Here is an 18,903-nt window from a genome sequence, read left to right as displayed (position 1 = left end):
AATTTCCAAGTCAGGGAAATAAGTTAAGCCAAAAAGGAAGTCCTTAAATTTATAACATGTAATTGCATCTTCCTACTTACCAGATATTCTATGTCAGTCCTATCTGTTTCATTTCAGGGTCTAAACTTACCTGCAAGGGTCCCCACCTTCACTCCTAAACAAACCTGCTCCCTGGGCCACCTCCATATTCCCACCTAAATTGATAAAGACAGATGGGTCTAGAATAGATGGCCCAGAAGAACATTAATAAGTTTAGAAAACAACTTCAAAAAAAAAAGTCTTCCAATTTTCAGAGTGAAGCTGAATTAAACACCCTTCACCTTTTTTCAAAATTAGGTTACGTTCAATAGTTGGTTTCTTACTATATAGCAGAAGCTCTATTTTCTTGTCAAACTTTAATAAACCCATCTCTTTTTCATCCTCATGTATCTTGCCAAAAGGTATGTATTCTTAACTAACGTTTAACATCAGTAAAACAGTTATCTATTTATACAATTCTCCCATATGCAGCTAGAGCATTTTTAAACAATCTGTCTAATAATAGTCTTCTAAACCAATCTAGTAATACTTTGGTTTCATGGCAAATTAAAAACTGTATTATGAAAAATGTTTCATTGTTTTAAGAAGCAAGTAACATGAAGGACTAATTAAAAGAATCTCATAGAAAACACTAAGCAGAGAAAATCTAAGTCGCCCCCTTTCCTAAGTGACTTCTGAATGAGTTTGTTTTATTTTGTTTGGCATTGCCAACTGCTTATGTCATCTTGTTTTTAAAATCCTCAGAGGCAGTAGTCCCCATCTTGGGAAGCTGCTAGAAAAGTCTTCCTCCATGGAGCTGAATGTATGCCGCGAGGAGCATTTCCTGTCAGCCTCACAGTCAGCAGACCAGCACTCTCCTGCGCCATCTGCTACTTCTTTTTAAACTGGATGCTTTCCACAAAGCAGGCTGGGCACAAGCCCAGGACACCAGGCCATTGGGCAGAGGTGCTAAGGATAGCAGGTTAGAGCCAGTCAGCTTCTCCACCACCCATTTTCCAGGTAGAAAAGGACACATCCCACCCCGCCATGCCAAACATTCACTGCTCCTGCTACCGCTAGCTCACTGCAGAACCTATGGCATCTTTCATTTGGAGAATCTGGAAATAAGGGAATGTGCAGGCTGAAGCACTGGCTTAGAACAGCAAACAAACAAACAAGGGCAGCTTAGTTCCAGGCTCCTGAAGGTAACAGCTAGGACAAAAAGCTGACGGGAGGGAATGGAATTCATTCAGGAGGGTATAAGCAAGAAGAGTGAAGTCCATACCTTCTATGGGACCCTGCTCTTGCCAGTAGCAATGCTTTGAGATGTATGTATTGATATCGTAGCATATGCACAGATCTGTGCTAAGTGCTTTACATAAACTGTCACTAATCCTCACACCATGCAAGCAGCATATGATCGTCACCATTTTTACAGATAAGGGAATGAATACTCACAAAGCTTAACTGTCTCAGCTAAGGTCTAAGAGTTATGAAGTCAGACTTGTAACTAAGACTTTTCTGGCTCCAAAGTCTGCACTCTTTTGACTATTCCCACAAAGCATCCCCACTAATGTTATTAATTCTCTGGATATAAAACAGTCATGATATGCAGTTCCAGGAAGAGTGAACAAAAGTCACTTGCACGAAGTATTTCAATTGTTGGAGGGACCTCAGAGAATGCATCTAACACTGAATAACTATTCAGCCACTGCCTCCTTATACCATGTCTGTCAATGAATATCAATATGAGTACAGGAACGGCAGCCAAGGAAGTCCCACCCCCTAGACACAAATGCTCCAACCGTTTTCTGGGCCAGCTCGTCTGTCAGCTGCTCATTGGCCCGGGTCTTATCCTCCACTTCCTGTGATTTCTGGTCATAATTGACAGCCAGCTCCTCCAGGGCCTGGAGAACTTCTTTCACCTCATCCTTGGCTGCCTCATTTTCAATCTGGAGACGTGTCAGCTCCTCCTGTATCTTCTCATAGTCTCTTCTTGTGGAAGCTAAAAGCTGGGGAAATGAGATGGCATGGAACTTGTGAATCTAATGTTCAAATGTTTATGTTCTATGCTGTATCCAAAAGTAAGTAATTTAAAAACCAGATATAAGAAAACAAGTTGAAAAAGTTCAGGATGATGGGAAACCCCACTGTATGGTCCAGACGATAAAAAAATAAAAGAAAAAGACAGATATGTTCTTATTGCAAAAATCTGTTTTGTGTGCATGTGTTTTGTTTTGTATGTTTTGTTGTTGTTGTTGTTAGTTTAAAGCTGTATACCCTTAACTCAAAGAAAGAATTACACATCAAAAAATCACTGCATTTTATAGCTATTCCATATTTTAAGCAAAGGATGGGGCCAGGCGCAGTGGCTCATGCCTGTAATCTCAGCACTTTGAGAGGCCGAGGCAGGTGGATTACCTGAGGTCAAGAGTTCACAAACAGCCTGGCCAATATGGCAAAACCCCATCTCTACTAAAAATACAAAAAAAAAATAGCTGGGTGTGGTGGTGCACACCTATAATCCCAGCTACTTGGGAAGCTGAGGCAGGAGAATAGCTTGAACCTGGGAGGCAGAGGTTGTAGTGAGCCGAGATGATGCCACTGCACTCCAGCCTGGGCAGCAGAGCAAGACTTCGTCTAAATAATAAATAAATAAATAAATAAATAAATAAATAAATAAATAAATAAGCAAAGGATCTGAGAGTCGTTTCCAAGGAAATGACAAGGAATAACACTTACATAATTTTTAAGTGTTATCAGGATTTCACATTGTAAACTGGTTGACTTCACAATCAACTAAAACAGTATACAACAGTGGTCAGTCACCTTTTTTTTAACATCCATCATGAAGATATAGAAGGATGTACCCCAAACAGTATCTTTAGTTAAAAGCGAATGTCTGGGCTTGCCGACGCTCTCATTATCTTTGTTCCTAAGTTGATTTTCCTATATTGAACAGATACTGCCTTGATAGTATAGAAAAAGAAAAATGTTAAGGAGTTTTAACAGTAACAAGAAGTAAAGTTTATCCCAGGCAGCTGTGCCAATGTGGGTGAAACTGGAGTAGAATGGGAGGTAGAGGGCAGGAAACTCAAGCAAATGGAAGGCCTCGACTATAGCTAAGAGAGAGAGATCAACGAAATATGGTTCACCTGATTACAAAAGTGTAGATTATCTCCCTACCAAGGGAAGTGTTTGGGCAGGGGAGGTAATCATTGTCCTAAAGAGATGAAAGGGAACAAAGAGGAAGGAAATGGTTACAGAGTCCTTTATGCCTACAGAGGCCTGGGATTGAGGACAGAAACCCAGGCACCTGCTGTCATTGCACAGTGGGATCCAATCCATAGCATTTCAGCAACGAAGCAGAAAGCAACTTAAAGCACAAAAGAAAACAACACTTAAACGGTCCTCAGCAAGGGAATTATTAATTGTGCATGTTTGATAAGTTGGCTGGCTATCCTTTGCTTAGGTTCTTGTTTGTAAAATACTTGGCAACACACAATGTAGTAAAAACACTTGCTGAAGAACTGAATGCCTTTGGGGAGAGACTGAAAACAATTTGCCTCCTTTTTAGTGTATCAAACATGCTGACGCAGTACTCGGGCCCCGTTCTCTTTGCCTTCCCCTCCTCTACCTTCTAGTTTTGTTTTTGTTTGTGTATCCCTACAGGACAGCAGGAGAACATGGTGTATATCAAAGATCTGAGCAAGCTGATTGCAAAACTGAAGTAGGACTCAAACAACAGGTCACAGCATTGCTGGGTATTAGGAGGCAGAATCATCCTTGCCCAAGGCCAGGTGCAGTGGCTCACACCTGTAATCCCAGTGCTTTGGGAGCCAAGGCAGGAGCCAAGCCAGAGGCCGGGAGTTCAAGATCACCCTGACCAACATAGAGAAACTCTGTCTCAAAATATTAAAAAATTAGCTAGGTATGGTGGCACATTCTTGTAGTCTTAGCTACTTGAGAGTCTTAGGCGGGAAGATCATTTGAGCTCTGGAGGTTGCAGTGAGCCATGATTGCACCACTGCATTCCAGCCTGGACAACAGAGAGACCCTGTCTCAAAAAAATAAAAATAAAAAAGGATCATCCTTGCTTGATCACCCAACCAAAGGTCTCTGCCCTTCCAGAACGAACTGTAGCCACTGGCTACTCAATCTCAAAACATCAGGGGTTTTTGAAAGTCAGACATTTATTTTCTAAATTCAGTGATAATCAGCTTGTAAGAGGCAGTGAAGGGACATCTACCAAGAAATTTCCACATGATTCTGTAATTATGAAAAGCTTCTATGCCAATTAAATTCCTGGAACAAACATCAACAACAAAGAGTAATAGAAGAACTTTGTGGAAAAAAAAATATATTGCATTCTTTACCTCATCCTGATCCAACATCTGTTGCTTCAGCTTTTCAGCCAGCTGGCTCTGCTGGTTAATTTCATCATCCTGAAACGAAACATCATGTTTGTTTTTTTGGTTAGTTATGTCATTTTTGATATCCCAGTCTCCCAGTGACAGGCAGCTACCATAAGCTTGCTGATAAGAAGGAAGGAATAGTGTGGTGTTACTGCACAGAAAACAGACAGATTCCGAGATCTCATTCAGTTAAAATACCTCCTCACCCACCTTTCTCAGCAGATGAAACAGCTGACTATTCTGGAAATATAATATCCTGCACATTCAACCCAATTCCTGCTCATTGAGAAATCAGAGATCTACGGTTTGGGAACTGAAAGGGACGTTAGAGATATCCCTCCCAATTCAAAGATGCTAACAGTGAAATTCCTAATTCAAAAAATAAAGGAGTGAATTTCTACCTAGCTGCACTGTCATATGTTATTATCCCAAATCTTGTCAAATGCATCAGTAAGCAGGAGTGCTGCCACCAGATCGGCAGGGAGAGCCAATGTTTCCACTTCAAACCTCTCAGACCAGAGAAAAATGAACTGGAGATTTGGCATTGGAAGACCTCCCTCTCGATTGGAAGTTAATTTTCTTAACAGTTAAAAAAAAAAAAAAAAAAAAAAAAAAAACCTCAGGGCAGCTGAGGGACAGAAGCATTCATGCTTACTTTCTGGGCTGTCACTGAAGTGGGAAAGGCAAATTCGCTCTTCTCACTCTTTTTCTGCCACTAGGTGTTGCTGCCACAAAAGCAAGGGTATTCGCTGCCCACCTCTCCCCACCTCCCCTTAGACTCAGTCCACCCCCAGTGCAGGCAAAGCAGCAGGCAGATGATGCCTAACTACATAAAAAACACAGTCTTCACTGCATTATTTTCACGACTTCAAATAAAATTTGAAACATAGCCTGTGAAGATGACAACCTGGCTTCTAGGGTCTAAACACCAAACAGAGTCAGATTCAATTGAGCATCCTTGGGCACTTCTTCGTGCCAGGTCCTGTCTAGGTGTTTTCATCAGCAGCCCAGAAAAACACACCCTGTACTGTGCCTTTTGCCTTTTCCAGGGGTGAAATCTAACCCAAACTTAAGGGCCTGGGTCACAGAACCTCAATGTTCCACGGGATATTCCCCAGCCTGTTTGGTGATATCTATGCATACATTTGAATCATGTTAATTTAATGTCACAAACTAATGCTTTCCATGGAGAAAGAAAATTCTAAAATCAGCCATACAGGATCTGAATCTCCTTGTCCTTTATGTAGACCATCATTTGGCTTTGCTTTTCTACTTAAAGAGATCCTGTTTCTACTGAACCCTTTACACCAATGTTTCTTTAATGGTTCTATTTTCCTGCACAAATCATATTAGGGAAATTATACCAGAATGAAACCTCCAAAAACTGGCACTTCTACAACTAGAAGACTATTTTGTAGATATATTTTCTCTTCTACTTTATAAACTTAGCACGTCAGTTACCAGTAACGATTTTGTGTTTATGTTCCTGAGCACTTAAATATTAGACAACTTAGCATAAAGGATTCAAAGAATTTACCATCGGAGAGCCACCATCTCTTCTCCTGGGACAAATGGACAAGCACTACAAGTGATATAAACCACAAGAGGAGAGAAATGGAGTGAACTCTGTCCTTACGCTGTGCTCATTTCAAAGCCTGAAGATGCAGGCTTCCTCCCAACAGATGACAAGCTGGGATGCAGTGATTTTTAAGGTACAGTGAAAAACCAAGGGCCCCTGGCCCCACCTGGGAAGGATGAAGAACAAGGATGATACTACAGAAGACGTGGATCACTTGTATCAGAGACATTTCCCAAACTATATTTACCCTTTATTAAGGCAACTTATCTAAGGAATTAATGAGCTCTACTGTGATTTTTTTTAAAGTCTTTCAAAACCTCCAGAATAATAAGGTGTGCTTATATCTACACATTCAACTGCATCTCTTAGAACATGCATAAGCACGCTCACTCTGATGCCGGTTCTAAAGATCTTGTCCATGGATAACAGATTTTAAAGCACTTTTCAGAAAGTATTTTATACTTGAATTTTCTTATACATGAAATAACATAAGGCCAGTTACAGTGGCTCACGCCTATAATCCCAGCACTTTGGGAGGCCAAGGCAGCTTGATCACTTGAGCCCAGGAGTCCGAGACCAGCCTGAGCAACATGGCAAATCTCCGTCTCTACAAAACATACAAAAAAAAAAATTAGCTGAGTGTGGTGGTATGTGCCTGTAGTACCAGCTACTCAGGAGGCTGAGGCAGGTGGATGGCTTGAGCCTGGAAGGTTGAAGCTGCAGTGAGTTGTGATTTCACCACTGCACTCTAGTCTGCGCAACAGAACAAGACCCCATCTCAAAAATTAAAAAAAAAATAACATGCGGCCAGGCGTGGTGGCTCAGGCCTGAAATCCCAGCACTTTGGGAGGCCGAGGCAGGTGGATCACGAGGTCAGGAAATCAAGACCATCCTGGCCAAGATGGTGAAGCCCCATCTCTACTAAAAATACAAAAATTAGCCAGGCGTGGTGGTGTGCGCCTGTAGTCCCAGCTACTCAGGAGGCTGAGGCAGGAGAATTGCTTGAACCCAGGAGGCAGAGGTTGCAGTGCACTGAGGTCGCACCACTGGACTCCAGCCTGAGTGACAGAGCGAGACTCCATCTCAAAAAATAAATAAATAAATAAATAAATAAATAAATAAATAAAACAAAATAATATGCACACCCTTATAAATGAGAAACTGGTCAACCTCAGTTGTCAACAGGTCACTGTTCACCTTTAAGTATAAAAATGTTTTTATTGCAATGGTAATCTGCATAAAAATAATCAACTTTCATTTCTACTTAAGCTTGGTTCGTGTCAGGATCTCCAAGAGCAGAGCAGTACTGTAGAGGGACAGAGACTAAGAGACAAGGAGTGCCAGCGCCAACTTGTTCACATTGTGTCTCTGCTGGTGGCCCCCTTGGCACCACCCCTTCCACACCACACACGGAAGTAAGCAGAGCCCAGCCCAGCCCAGGAGAAAGAAGGAAGCTAATATTTACTGGGCACCTGCAATGTACTAGAAACTTTTAATCCTCACCACAGCCTTTTGAATTAACAGATATAAGCCCCATGATACAGATGAGAAAAAGCACCTTCAGCAGGGCCAGGCGCCAGCCCAGGACTCAGCATTATTGTCACAGGTCTGCCCAGGTCTCAGTGTCATTGTTACAGGTCTGAGTCCACAGTGCATGCTCTCCCATCACACAGCATAGCCTTGGGAGAGTACCTGTGCTTGGAGCCCTGGCGGGGCAGCACGGAGGAACAGAAGGGACAGCTGGGAGGAAACCGTGTGGTCTTTCTCCCTCCACACCCTAAATAGATTCACTGAGGTTGACCAGGTCCTCATTTAAAGGGCTGAGGGCAAAATGAGATGAGCACTGGGGTGGGAGTCAGAAGATATGTAACTTCATCCTAGCTCTGCCACCTATATGTGATATACACTTGGGTAAGTCACATAACCACCCTGGGCTAGTGCCTCACCCAAACCTAAATACCTCCTGTTCTACCTTTCAGTAGACTAAGAAGGTGCCATATCCCACCTCATGTATTCTTCAAGCGTCAAACCACCTACATCAACAGAAACATGGAAGTGCCTCCTAGAACATTTCAGAGGAGGACCCCTAAGAATGACAGTTGGTAAGACATAATCAGGCAGTCTTTGGGAAGGGTCACTGAGGGCAAACCATTAGCTCTGGTGCCCCCTAAGGCTGAGGCTTCTAGGCTCAGTCCTCTCCCACGTCTCTCAGCATCATCATGTGAGGGACCACAAATACTAGCCTCCAACAGCGGGCCTTACAGAATCTTCAAAGCACATGCTGTAGGAAAATGACATAACAAAATGGCCTAGGCTGACCATCAGGAGACGGAGACTCTCAAGCCAGCTCTTCAGCTACCAACTGAATGCTTTGGACATGGCATTTTCATCTCTCTGTCCTAATCACTACATTTCGTATGTCTGATTTGAGACTCTAAAGTCTCTCTCTTGGATCAATGAAAGTTCCCTGTGCTGCCAAGGTAAATGATCCCGATTCCGCCATGCAGGCGTCTATTCATAGAGAACTGAGCACAGAAACAGCTTCTCACCCTCTCACCCAGGATTCTCTGCGATTACTAAAAATGAGCCCATTGGTTCTAAAATGAGGAAAAAAAATGCATATGGTCTAATCTTCTTTACTGTTTAAACAATAGCAATTCCTTGGAGAAATCAAGAAATTGCATATACTGTTAACTTACTATTGATCTCCTTTTTCTCTTTGTTTTGCATAAAATACATAGATAGAAATGGAAGATAACGGTATGCGTGGAGCCTAAAGGGCAAGTAACCCATCTCGTGGGTGCGAATATTTTATTAAATGTGTTTTCAGAAGAGTAGGATGACCCCAGAATAAAGCTTTGGTTATAGTGCAAGCTCTTGGAATCACAAACAAGCAGAACTAGCTTCCTTAAGGCAACCAGTCACATTCAGCTTGCAAAGGTCATACCAGTCTCTGAGCTTTACCTCAAAGAGAGAAGCCTGTAAGATTAATGGCAAGGTTAACATAACAAAGCTGCTTCATACAAGCCAGAGGTGTCCCTAAGCACTCTGAGCTGAACCACAATAGAAAAGATTAAATCAGGCTAAAAATATCAGCAACCCTGATGAAATCAACTGAAAGGATTTAGAATATTCCAAGGGCAACATGCCAAGATCATATAAAACATCAATTCAATTCTCATGCCTCTGGGATTCCTAACCCAACCTTTAATTGATTCTCCCAGTGTTCTCCAAGGCCTCTTTTCCTCTATGCCAACTTGTGCATTTACATGACTATTTGAGTCCCAAAAGCTTGTCATAAAATTGGACATCCCCAATTAGCATGTACAAACTACTTCATTCAAGAATATACCCGTGAAAAGAGCTTCACCAATTAGGTGAAGCCATCAGACCACACTGCTATCGATTTCTCATCCCAGGGCCTTATGGTTATATGATTAAAGTACATGCTTGAATTCTGGGAGTCACAACCCTTGCCCCTAGCTGAGGCTACTGCTGGAGTTTCCAAGAGGTGAAGGATAGGCCCAGAGAAGAAAGGGAGACTTAAAGATCATAGACACTCACACACCCCACCTTTCATGCAGTAATCAGCCCAGTCCAATTTCTAGAAGACAAGACTCTAAATAGCACCCGCCTGTCTATCTAGGCCAACACACTGCTTTTTCAGTCAAGTTCCCTTTAACATTTCTATTCCACATGAATCAAACTCCCTGAATCTGCACCATCAAAGTGCTAGGGTAGGTATTAGGAAACCAGAAACAAAGATCGGGCTGTAGCCCTACATCAGCCCCATAGGGAGCTGGGACCTGCCATCTTTCATCTTTGTAGCAGAATGAGAACTATGAATCTCTGGCCACAGACCTTGTCATCCAGTTGTCTGTAGAGACTGGAGATCTCCTCATCGTACTTCTCTTTCTCCTCTGTAGAGATGCCAGCAACAACAGGAGCAATATTGTCTATGATGGGGGTGTTATCACAAGGCTCCAGGTTCTTCTGGTCCTTGGCACTGATCTGTTCATCCTCAGGCACAGCTTCTCCTGCAAAACATAGCCGAGCAGAGTTGGGGATTAAAGAAATTGAGTATGCAACCCTCCAGGAAGAGTACCAAAAATAATCAGTCCTGGTGAAAAATACACAGAAGACACAATAAAGGGCTGTAGTGTGGGTAGAGTTTGTGTTCCTTCTATTTGACAAGAAAGGTCTTAGTTAATTGGCCAAAACTAGTCTAAGAAAAAAGAGAACTATGTAAAACCTCCCCTCTCAAGATGCATCCCTGAAGTAAACTGGTTCCAAGCTACTCCAACTTGCAGAGATGCCTAAATTCTTTACATTCATTTTGCTTTAGTTGAGGAATATCCTGGGGCTTTACTAGAGTCATATTCTCTCTAGTGATTGATTAAAAAGGAAACAGACCTCTAAGGCATCCTAATTATGAATTAATTATGTCACTGTTTCATTAATAGAAACAGCCAAATAAAGAAACACACTGGCATTGTTTGATAGAACACTCTAAGGCTCAGATCCTCTGAATTCAAGAATCTCCAAATCTGAGGTCAGAAGACAGGGTAGCCCTGGATCCAAGACTAGAGCTGCAAAAGCTCACATTTCAATACCACTGTCTCCTCCAGGAAGCCAGAATTAATTGGCTCTGCTGGAAAGTTCAAATAGAATAACCTACTGTGATATCAGGTAGTCTTAGGAAAGAAAAGCAGCCAATCTAGACTATCTTGCAGAGATCCTACCTACAACTTCTCAGTTTGCAGAGTAGCATTTGTTGGGGCCTTCAAAGGAAGAATTGCCAAATTTGTCAATCAAATTGATAGAAATGGTACAGCTTGCAAGCTGGCCAATGGCTATCTCCAACAAGAACATCAAAGACATAAAGTGCATAAAAAGGATTCTAAGAAAACTACTGGCCCCACTGAGTCTCCCAAATATCTTCCTGGAAAGCAAAACCAAACCCAACATACTTTTCCATCACAATGTTTACCATCAACACCACAATCATCTTGCTACAGTCAGTAGTAAGAGTGTCTGCAGTATTCCAAGCCTCACCCCAGTTCCCAGCCCACAAAATCCATTTTGTAAAAATTGCCCAGGAAAACTGCCTTGAGTCAGAGAGTTTTTCAAAAATACATGATAGAAGGCAGGGCACAGTGGCTCAGGCCAAGACGAGCAGATAACTTGAGGCCAGGAATTCGAGACCAGCCTGGCTAACATGGTGAAATACCATCTCTACTAAAAATACAAAACTTAGTATTTGTACAAAAATTGGCTGGGTGTGGTGGTGCACACCTGTAATCCCAGCTATTTGGGAGGCTGAGGAACAAGAGTCGCTTGAACCCGAGAGGCGAAGGTTGCAATGAGCCGAGATCGCGCCATTGCACTCCAGCCTGGGTGCCAAGAGCAAGACTTTGTCTCAATAAATAAATAAATAAATAAAAATAAATAATAGAGTAACTGAGATTTCAATCTGTGGCTTCATTAACAATATATATCATGCTTCAAGGAACCCACCTGAACACTGTACACATTTATCTCAATATAAACAAAACACTGTGATAGTTTAGTTCTGCTGCTTATGACTCCATTATCTCACTGCATAACCACAAAATACTACATGGGGCCTCCGTGTTAAGTAAAATTAACACCCAATGCTTTCACTTTTGTATCACAGTTCCGTTTGAAGCAGCAACTTGAAGCAAAACATAGAATAAACTATTACCTTGCTGAATACAAAATTGAGCCAACCCTTTTTCCTTTTCCAACAAGACTGCTATACTTAAGCGTTTTTTCTAAAATTATTGACCTTAAACAAAACCAGAATATCAGAGTAGCCTTTGAACAGAACCTGAACCAAATCAATATTTCATTCAGTTCCAATTCCTGGCTTAAAATATCCATCAACAACCTTAGTGTGCAGACTGGATTTCATCCAATTAAAGGATCTATATTCTCTACAGTCTGCTAAATCCATGGGCTATAAAAGCTGTACCATGTTCTTTTTTTTTCTTAAACATATTAGAGATAGATAGACATAGATAGATAGATAGATAGATAGATAGATAGATAGATAGATAGACAGACAGACAGACAGACAGACAGATTTTCTAATCACACAATAATTCAGGATACATTCTTAACATAAACAACTCAAGCAATGTGGAGTATACAACTAAAACTTGAAAGTCCTCCTTCACCCCTCCCTTCTAATTCTGTTCCTTCCCCAGAGAAATTCACCACTAACACTTTGGTAAATATCCTTCCTCTTCTTGGATTGTGACTGTATCTCTAATTTTTGAGCTCTAGCTTCTGAAATTTGGGAACAGGGCAATCCAGTACAGTATGAATTTAATCTTTCAGCTTACGCATGACAAAGATGAAATTCTTAGCTGTACCAGACCAGACACCAACCAGAACATGGTCATATTATCCACAGGCCAACTCACTCCAAGTAAAGAGGTAAGATACAAAAACATCTGGAAGAGATATATTCCCTGTGTTCTTTGGTTTCAAATGGCCAAAGAGGCAATGGTATCATGAGGCTAGGGTAAGCTAAGGAGCTGCCCAGTGTGTGTTTTGATTCAGCTGAGTGGGCAGGGGCCGGGGATAGACTTCTATAACCTTAGCAGCAAGTGACCTGTTCTAACCAAAGTCACAGGCCTGACTTCCCCTAAAGCTGCCCTCTTCTCCCATTAAGGAATGATAGCGTCACCAAGTAGAAGGGTTGTCCCAGATGGCAGAGATTCAACAAGCTAGCCAATGCTGCTGTAAGGCACTGTGAAAGTAGTCAAGGGACTCTCTCATCTCCAGTGCTATGGCAGGATGCTAAAGCCACATTGTACCTTTTAACAGGTCTCATTAATCACAAGCCCATCTCCTGCTTACCCTCTTGGTTTCCTTTCTGTAAGGGAGAAGAAATAACAATGCCTTTATCACAGGGTTGTTCTAAAGATAAATGAAGATAGTATATGTAAAAAGCACAAAAGGCAATATTGTTCAAAGTCCACCTCTTATCCCCTCCTCTCCCTGACAAATTTGCAACTTTGTAGGCTTGGCAGATAAATTATTATTTTTACTTATTCTGTGATTTGTGTTTCTGAGATCTTTACGATAATTTTATGGCTGGAGCTCAGTTCCAAAAATAAAACATGGTATAGCCATGCAAGTCCATTTCAGGTTTATTTTTATTATTATTAAAACAGTATTTGAAACCTACAGCAGACTTTGTGGTTTCTCTTGAACAATTCTCTCAATCAAAGCATTAACATGTCTCCTACAAAGCTACATCTAAACAACCAGCTCTTTTCAGTTTATATTCTAAAGGTCAGGCAGTAAGGATTATTTTTTACAGCAGCCATTTCAACGGAGAAGAACAAAGCCGCAACACGCAGGAACTAAAGCAGCCCAGCTCCTGCCCAGAGAGGAACCAAGGGCAGGTTTTCCAACACCACTACTCTTCAAAGGACCGAGAAAATGACTTCCAGAAGCGTCCTGGTAACTACACTGTCCAGCTCACAAACACGTCTGGGGATTGTAAATTCCCAACACTAGGCAAGACCTGACACTAGGTTATCTGTCTCCATGGCAATCTCACCACGTTAATGGAGAATATTCCCTGCACTGCAGTGGACCAATTCTCTGGAGAAGCCCCCACATGGTGATTATGGAATAACTGATTCTAACAAGGAAGACAGCTGCAAACAGACCCTAGAGAAATAACGCCCTGAACTCTGATGGTGGGAGAAGGAGAAAAAGACCACCAAAGGAAGATTAGCATCTATTTTGAGTCTCCCTCTTTGCATTAAAAGCAGATTTCTCTTAGTTTAGCCCCGGAGGCTTATACCTGCTGTCTATAGGAAAAGAGCTCATAATATTGTAAAGCATCTGAAAGGCCTCCCCACACACATACACACACACACACACACACACACACACACACACACACACTGGAAACCTTCCCCTTCTTTAAATAAGCATCCTGGCATTTACTATCGTCAGATGTAATTACCTTTAAGGACTAAAAAGATTTGTGTTTACATAGGAGCATTCACTGAAGCATACCTATAAGGCTTACAGAGCATTCTAATTATAAAATAAAAACTCCCAGAGGGCGTAAATAACATTTCTACAAAAAATAGAAATCCATCAACGGCAACAGATGAGAATGACACACTAATCAAAAATTCTCATTAGGGCTATTAAAATTTCTAAAATAGGTTTTTGGGTTTTTTTTTAAAGAAAGAAAACCATTAGACTGCCAGTAATTCATTAAAACTTCACACATGAAATAGCAACAAGCTAGTTATCCTTTTCATAAGTTGAGTTCCTAAAGCCTCAGGAGAACACAGAAAGGTAATTGCATTCTCTCAGTAACTCCAGAGCAGAGATTTGCTGGTTACTCACAGCTTCCGCCAGGAACCACAGCAGATCTGGCAAACGAGGTGCTTTCTTTTAATTCCAATTAAATAGGCCCAGTGGCAGACCTAATGGTAGGTAATTTCTGTATCAAAGAAACTAAAAGGAAATCTTTAAGTTGCCAGATGGGTGAGAGCAGCTGGCTACAAGATGTCATTATATAAATGTGATGTTAAAAAAAAAAAATCATTCTTTTATGAGATTATTTTGCATGCAAATAGCATCTTTCACCCTCATTCCTAAAAACACTGTAAGCAGCTTAAAACATCCTCTAATCCCTTCTAGAGCGATTTTCTAATAAACTGGTCACCTGGGACTCTGCATCCTCCTTACATTCATGACCACCTGAACAGGCCACAACATTCTCTTAGTAGACAGACGGTATTTCTATTACAGAGTTTGGTTGTGTTCTCAAAAGCAAGCAGAGGGCCTAGTAAATTAGATCGCTCCAATGAAATGCTAATTTCTGAGAGTCCATTATAATCATGGATCTAAGAAGGGAGCCAGCATCTTCGAAGATTTAATGCTAAAAGAGCAAATTGTGTTCCAATTGTGGTGGTCCCAAAGTTCCACAAAGCCCCAAATCAGACTAGAGGCTACAGATTTAGCTAGTTACTGAACCATGTCTGCTGGCCTCACAGGTTTTGAACTGGATGAACAAATCTGCGTTAGAGACTGCCGATTTTTCCACACTTTCTCAGCCTGTGATGAAATCATTTCTTTGCATGACTTCAGCAGATAAGGTAAATCTATATCCACTGTTTTTTAATCTTATAGGCAATTATTCAAGAGAAGAAAATCTGCAGATACACCAGTTTGTCAGGTCATTTCCTTGTTCTGACACCTGGATTTTCAGGTCCTCCTTTTTCTGACTTAAATCACTGTAAAAAATTATTTTTCAAGTGCAAAATTCAAAGTATCAGAAGACAGCATGTGTGAAGACTGACCTGGCAGCAACAGGAAGCCATGCATCCAGACTTCACCCCGCCCTCCCCATCCTCCTGTCAAGAGTTTTCCTGATGGATTGGGAGGAGGTTAGCATGAGCTGGAGCTGTAATTCACTCTGAATCCAACTATTTAACTCTATCTCCATATATAGGATTGTTCGAGTCTCTCCCGCACATATGAGCAACAAAGCAATAGAGCTTTAAAAAAAATTCCATTTTCTGGCAACTGCCCCACTCCATCCTATCTGTTCCTTAAGCAAGCAGGCTGAACAAATCTCCGTGAGGCTAAAGAGCCAACAGAGCCTCCAGATTCGAAGAAAGACCAGCCATCGATATCGGCCCACAAGATGTCACTAGTAGATTGTGGTGAACATTTGTTGCTTTTCAGCCACTCGACACCCATTCTTAGAAAATAGCACCTCAACTTCCTTTTAAGGAATTAGCCCCCTAAACTGCATGCAGTCTTCATCAGACAATGTATCAAAGTGCCCTGCCCTTCCCCAGCCAAGGCACACCAGCAAGCACAGTATTCCCACTTCTATCCTGGGCCTCTGCTTCTCCAACATAATCACATACAGAAGGGAAAAAGCATTAATTCCAGGTGTGGCCACTTAAGAGACCTGCCTGTCTCTGCTGCCTGTATCCCTGAAGCAGCCCCAGCCTACACTTGTCGGAGCCTGTTGCCTCTGCTTTGGAGTCTGCGAATCATTCGTATCCTTCTAACACATTCTCTTTTTGCTTTAGCCAGGCAGTGTCAATTCCTGTCGTTTGCAATCCAAGGATCCTAACTAGCACCCTGGGGAACGGAACCAGGCCAGTGGGTGGCTCTCCTTAGCCACATGCACATGCCCGGAGTTATCCTGCCTCCATGGCAATGTCAGAAAGGAATTAAAGCTTAGTGTAGTATATGTGATATGAGCCACAAGCCGCCTTCTGAGAATCAAGGTTCAACAGTGCCCAGAGGAGAAAACTGCTAGGCCTGCATTCTGAAGTGGCCCCTGTCTTACCTGGAGCTGCTATAAGAAAGTACCATAGACTGGGTGGCTTATAAAGAATTTATTACTTACAGTTCTGGAGGCTAGAAGTCCAAGATCAGAGTGCCAACATGATCTTGGCACTTGGTAAGGGCCCTCTTCGGGGTTTGCAGATGGCATCTCATTATAGTCTTACATAGTGGAGACCAGAGGGAAGGAAGCTCTCTCAGAACTCACAGGACACTAATGCCATTCATGAGAGTCCATCCTCAGAACCCAATCACCTCCCAAAGGCCCCACCTCCTACTATCACCACCTTAGGGGTTAAGATTTCAACATATGAATTTGGATGGGCACAAAACATTCAATCTATAGCATGCATCAAGCTACAAAGGGTTGAAAATTGGTACAGGTGGAGGTGTGGGGGAGGGCGAGAGCAACCTCTAGGCATGTAATAGTGCAGTATTTCACCAATTTTGAATGACATAAGGCAGGGCATGCCCTGTCCTGTGGCACAGTCCCAACACTGCCAGCTGGATCAAACTTACCTCTTTTCAGTTATCTCCATTATCTGCCTGCACCTGATCTGTAGTTGATTTCCTACTCCTTTGTATTGTTACTTCATTCTATGTAACAGCAAGTAGGAAAAAGCACAAGCATGTGTGTGTGTGCGCGCGCGCACACACACACACACACTTTGCTACACATACCCCTTCCTTGCTCTCCAGCAGCTGAAGTATAGCAGCCAAACTCTTAAATTATAAATACCATGCAAAGAAAGAAATCTTTTTCCCAGGAGACTGCACACAATTGACAAGGCCTCTTTAACTCGTGGAGACTGCCATGTGGAAATATCAATACCCAGGAAATGTTGAGGGGAGCTAAGTAGCCACCTTCTGTAAGTTTAGAACCAATGTGCGTGTCAAGTTTCAAAGGAAAGTTGGCAATATCCTGCCACTCTGGTTTTAGTGAAGGGCACTTCTGCTTTTTCAGTCCACATCTCAAAAGCCCAGCTCTCACGTTTACACACACCAGCCATGCCCTCATTATCACCAGCTATGCCCTCATTATCTTCTGCTCTGAAGAATTAGGACTGACACGTGGGGAGACCATGGAAGGGCTTCCAGTGCCCCTTTTTTTGGCGTGATATTTATTACACTCATCTAACTGGCCCTGCCCACAAATCATTCTGCTAACTTGATGAGCAGGCTGTGCAGACAGTAGAAAGAGAATGAACTTTAGAGTCAGGCCCACTCAGTTCAGATCGCAGCTTTACCAGAGACTGATCCACTTGGGGACGTTTTCAGACCTGTCATTCATGGTCACAAGAGCTACTTGAGGATTAAATGCCCAGCCTCAGAATGTAACAAAAAGCCTGGCCTGGTCTGTTGTCCCTGTAACGTCCACTGGCACATAGCATGAGACACAGAGTTACTGTTTGAGGTAGCTCTGCCCCCTCCATGGGACAAAGGACCTCTCCCCACCTCCTCACTGCCCCTCACTACTCTCCTTCTCGCCTGAAACTTACATCACTAAAGTCAGTTCTCTACCTTTAAGAACTTTGCCCCTAGAAAAATCACCTTTAAATACAAATGTTAGCTGGGGAGGAAAGGAGAGTTCTGCGGAATCCCTCCAATTCCCTTCTCCCATCACAACCAGTGGTGACGTGGCAATGGGGTTGCTGGGGGCCTCTCAGACTCTCTCTGTCTTCTCTTCTTTCTCTGTAGTCCAAAGGGCCCTCACACCTACCTATGCCTTCAATTACTACCAAAAGACTGATGACTCCAACTCAAGCAGATCCTCTGAGCTCCAGACCCTCAGACCTAACTTCTTATCTGAATAATGTTCCCCTGGATGTTCCACGGGGACCCTAAACTCCCTCCTCCCTCACCCCTGGTTCTCCTCCAGCATCCCCAGTCTTAGAGAATGGTCTCACCCTCCATCCAACTCGGCAAGCCAGAAAACACAGTTGTCATTGAAACCTCCCTCTCCCATAGCCAACCCCTCACCACACCCGGCTAATTTCTCCTCCTAAATATCTCTCAGGTTCATCCATTTCTCTCCCTTCCTACTACCCTGTCACTTCAATACCATCATCTCATCCCTGGAAGACCACCCCAGCTCCCAGCCCTCCTCTCCGACCTGCAGTCCACTCTCCAATACAGCCAATGGATCTTCAAAAATGCGAAGGTATGACTTGCAGCTTAACACCCTTGACCAAAATCCTGAAGACAGGAGAGCCCCGCCTATCCCTCGAGCCCATCTCAGGCCAGTGCTCCCTGCTGGCCTATGTCCTCCATTCTCGGAGCCCCCACCTCACCTCATGCCCCCTATTTTGCCTGGCTAACTGCGCTTCTCACAGATACTAATCTCTACATTGCATATTCAAGGAACCCTTCACTGGCTTCTCAGTCAAGGTCAGGGCCCCCTGTTGTATAACTCTTGGCACCTGTGCTTTCACTTCTTGGTATGCAGCGTGGACTACCATCATACATTTATTGGTGAGGACTGGCATTTACCTTCCTCCCCGCTCAGACCGTCCTGAGGGAAGA

At 42.7% G+C, this 18,903-nt stretch overlaps 1 protein-coding gene across 5 annotated transcripts in view, besides 2 other annotated features; it reads right to left on the bottom strand.

The window, feature by feature from the left end:
* KIF5C (kinesin family member 5C) overlaps positions 1–18,903 on the bottom strand; it is a 151,533-nt gene that overhangs the window by 43,375 nt on the left and 89,255 nt on the right. For all 5 annotated transcript variants that reach the window (NR_111932.2, NM_004522.3, XM_017004062.2 and 2 more), the window contains 3 exons: positions 9,874–10,049; positions 4,395–4,463; positions 1,824–2,030 (listed from right to left, as the gene is read on the bottom strand). Coding sequence is in view for 4 of the 5 variants with exons in the window: in NM_004522.3 (NP_004513.1) it covers positions 1,824–2,030; positions 4,395–4,463; positions 9,874–10,049 (452 nt within the window). In the remaining variant the exon portion in view is untranslated. The remainder of the gene's footprint in view (positions 1–1,823; positions 2,031–4,394; positions 4,464–9,873; positions 10,050–18,903) is intronic.
* Positions 8,608–9,444: an enhancer, noted in NCBI's record as "OCT4-NANOG hESC enhancer chr2:149830455-149831291 (GRCh37/hg19 assembly coordinates)". NCBI's record gives its function as "activates a minimal SCP1, AML or CMV promoter by ChIP-STARR-seq in naive and primed H9 embryonic stem cells {active_cell/tissue: H9 hESC(naive and primed)}" and the evidence as "EXISTENCE:reporter gene assay evidence [ECO:0000049][PMID:30033119]".
* Positions 16,056–16,350: a silencer, noted in NCBI's record as "tiled region #9639; K562 Repressive non-DNase unmatched - State 10:DNaseD". NCBI's record gives its function as "represses a minimal TATA promoter and a strong SV40 promoter by Sharpr-MPRA in K562 cells {active_cell/tissue: K562}" and the evidence as "EXISTENCE:reporter gene assay evidence [ECO:0000049][PMID:27701403]".

This window comes from Homo sapiens, chromosome 2 (genome assembly GCF_000001405.40).
Source record: "Homo sapiens chromosome 2, GRCh38.p14 Primary Assembly".
In the NCBI taxonomy this organism is placed as follows: domain Eukaryota; kingdom Metazoa; phylum Chordata; class Mammalia; order Primates; family Hominidae; genus Homo; species Homo sapiens.
The sequence above is the reverse complement of the archived record's forward strand: the minus strand, read 5'-3'. Positions and strand labels throughout refer to the sequence as shown.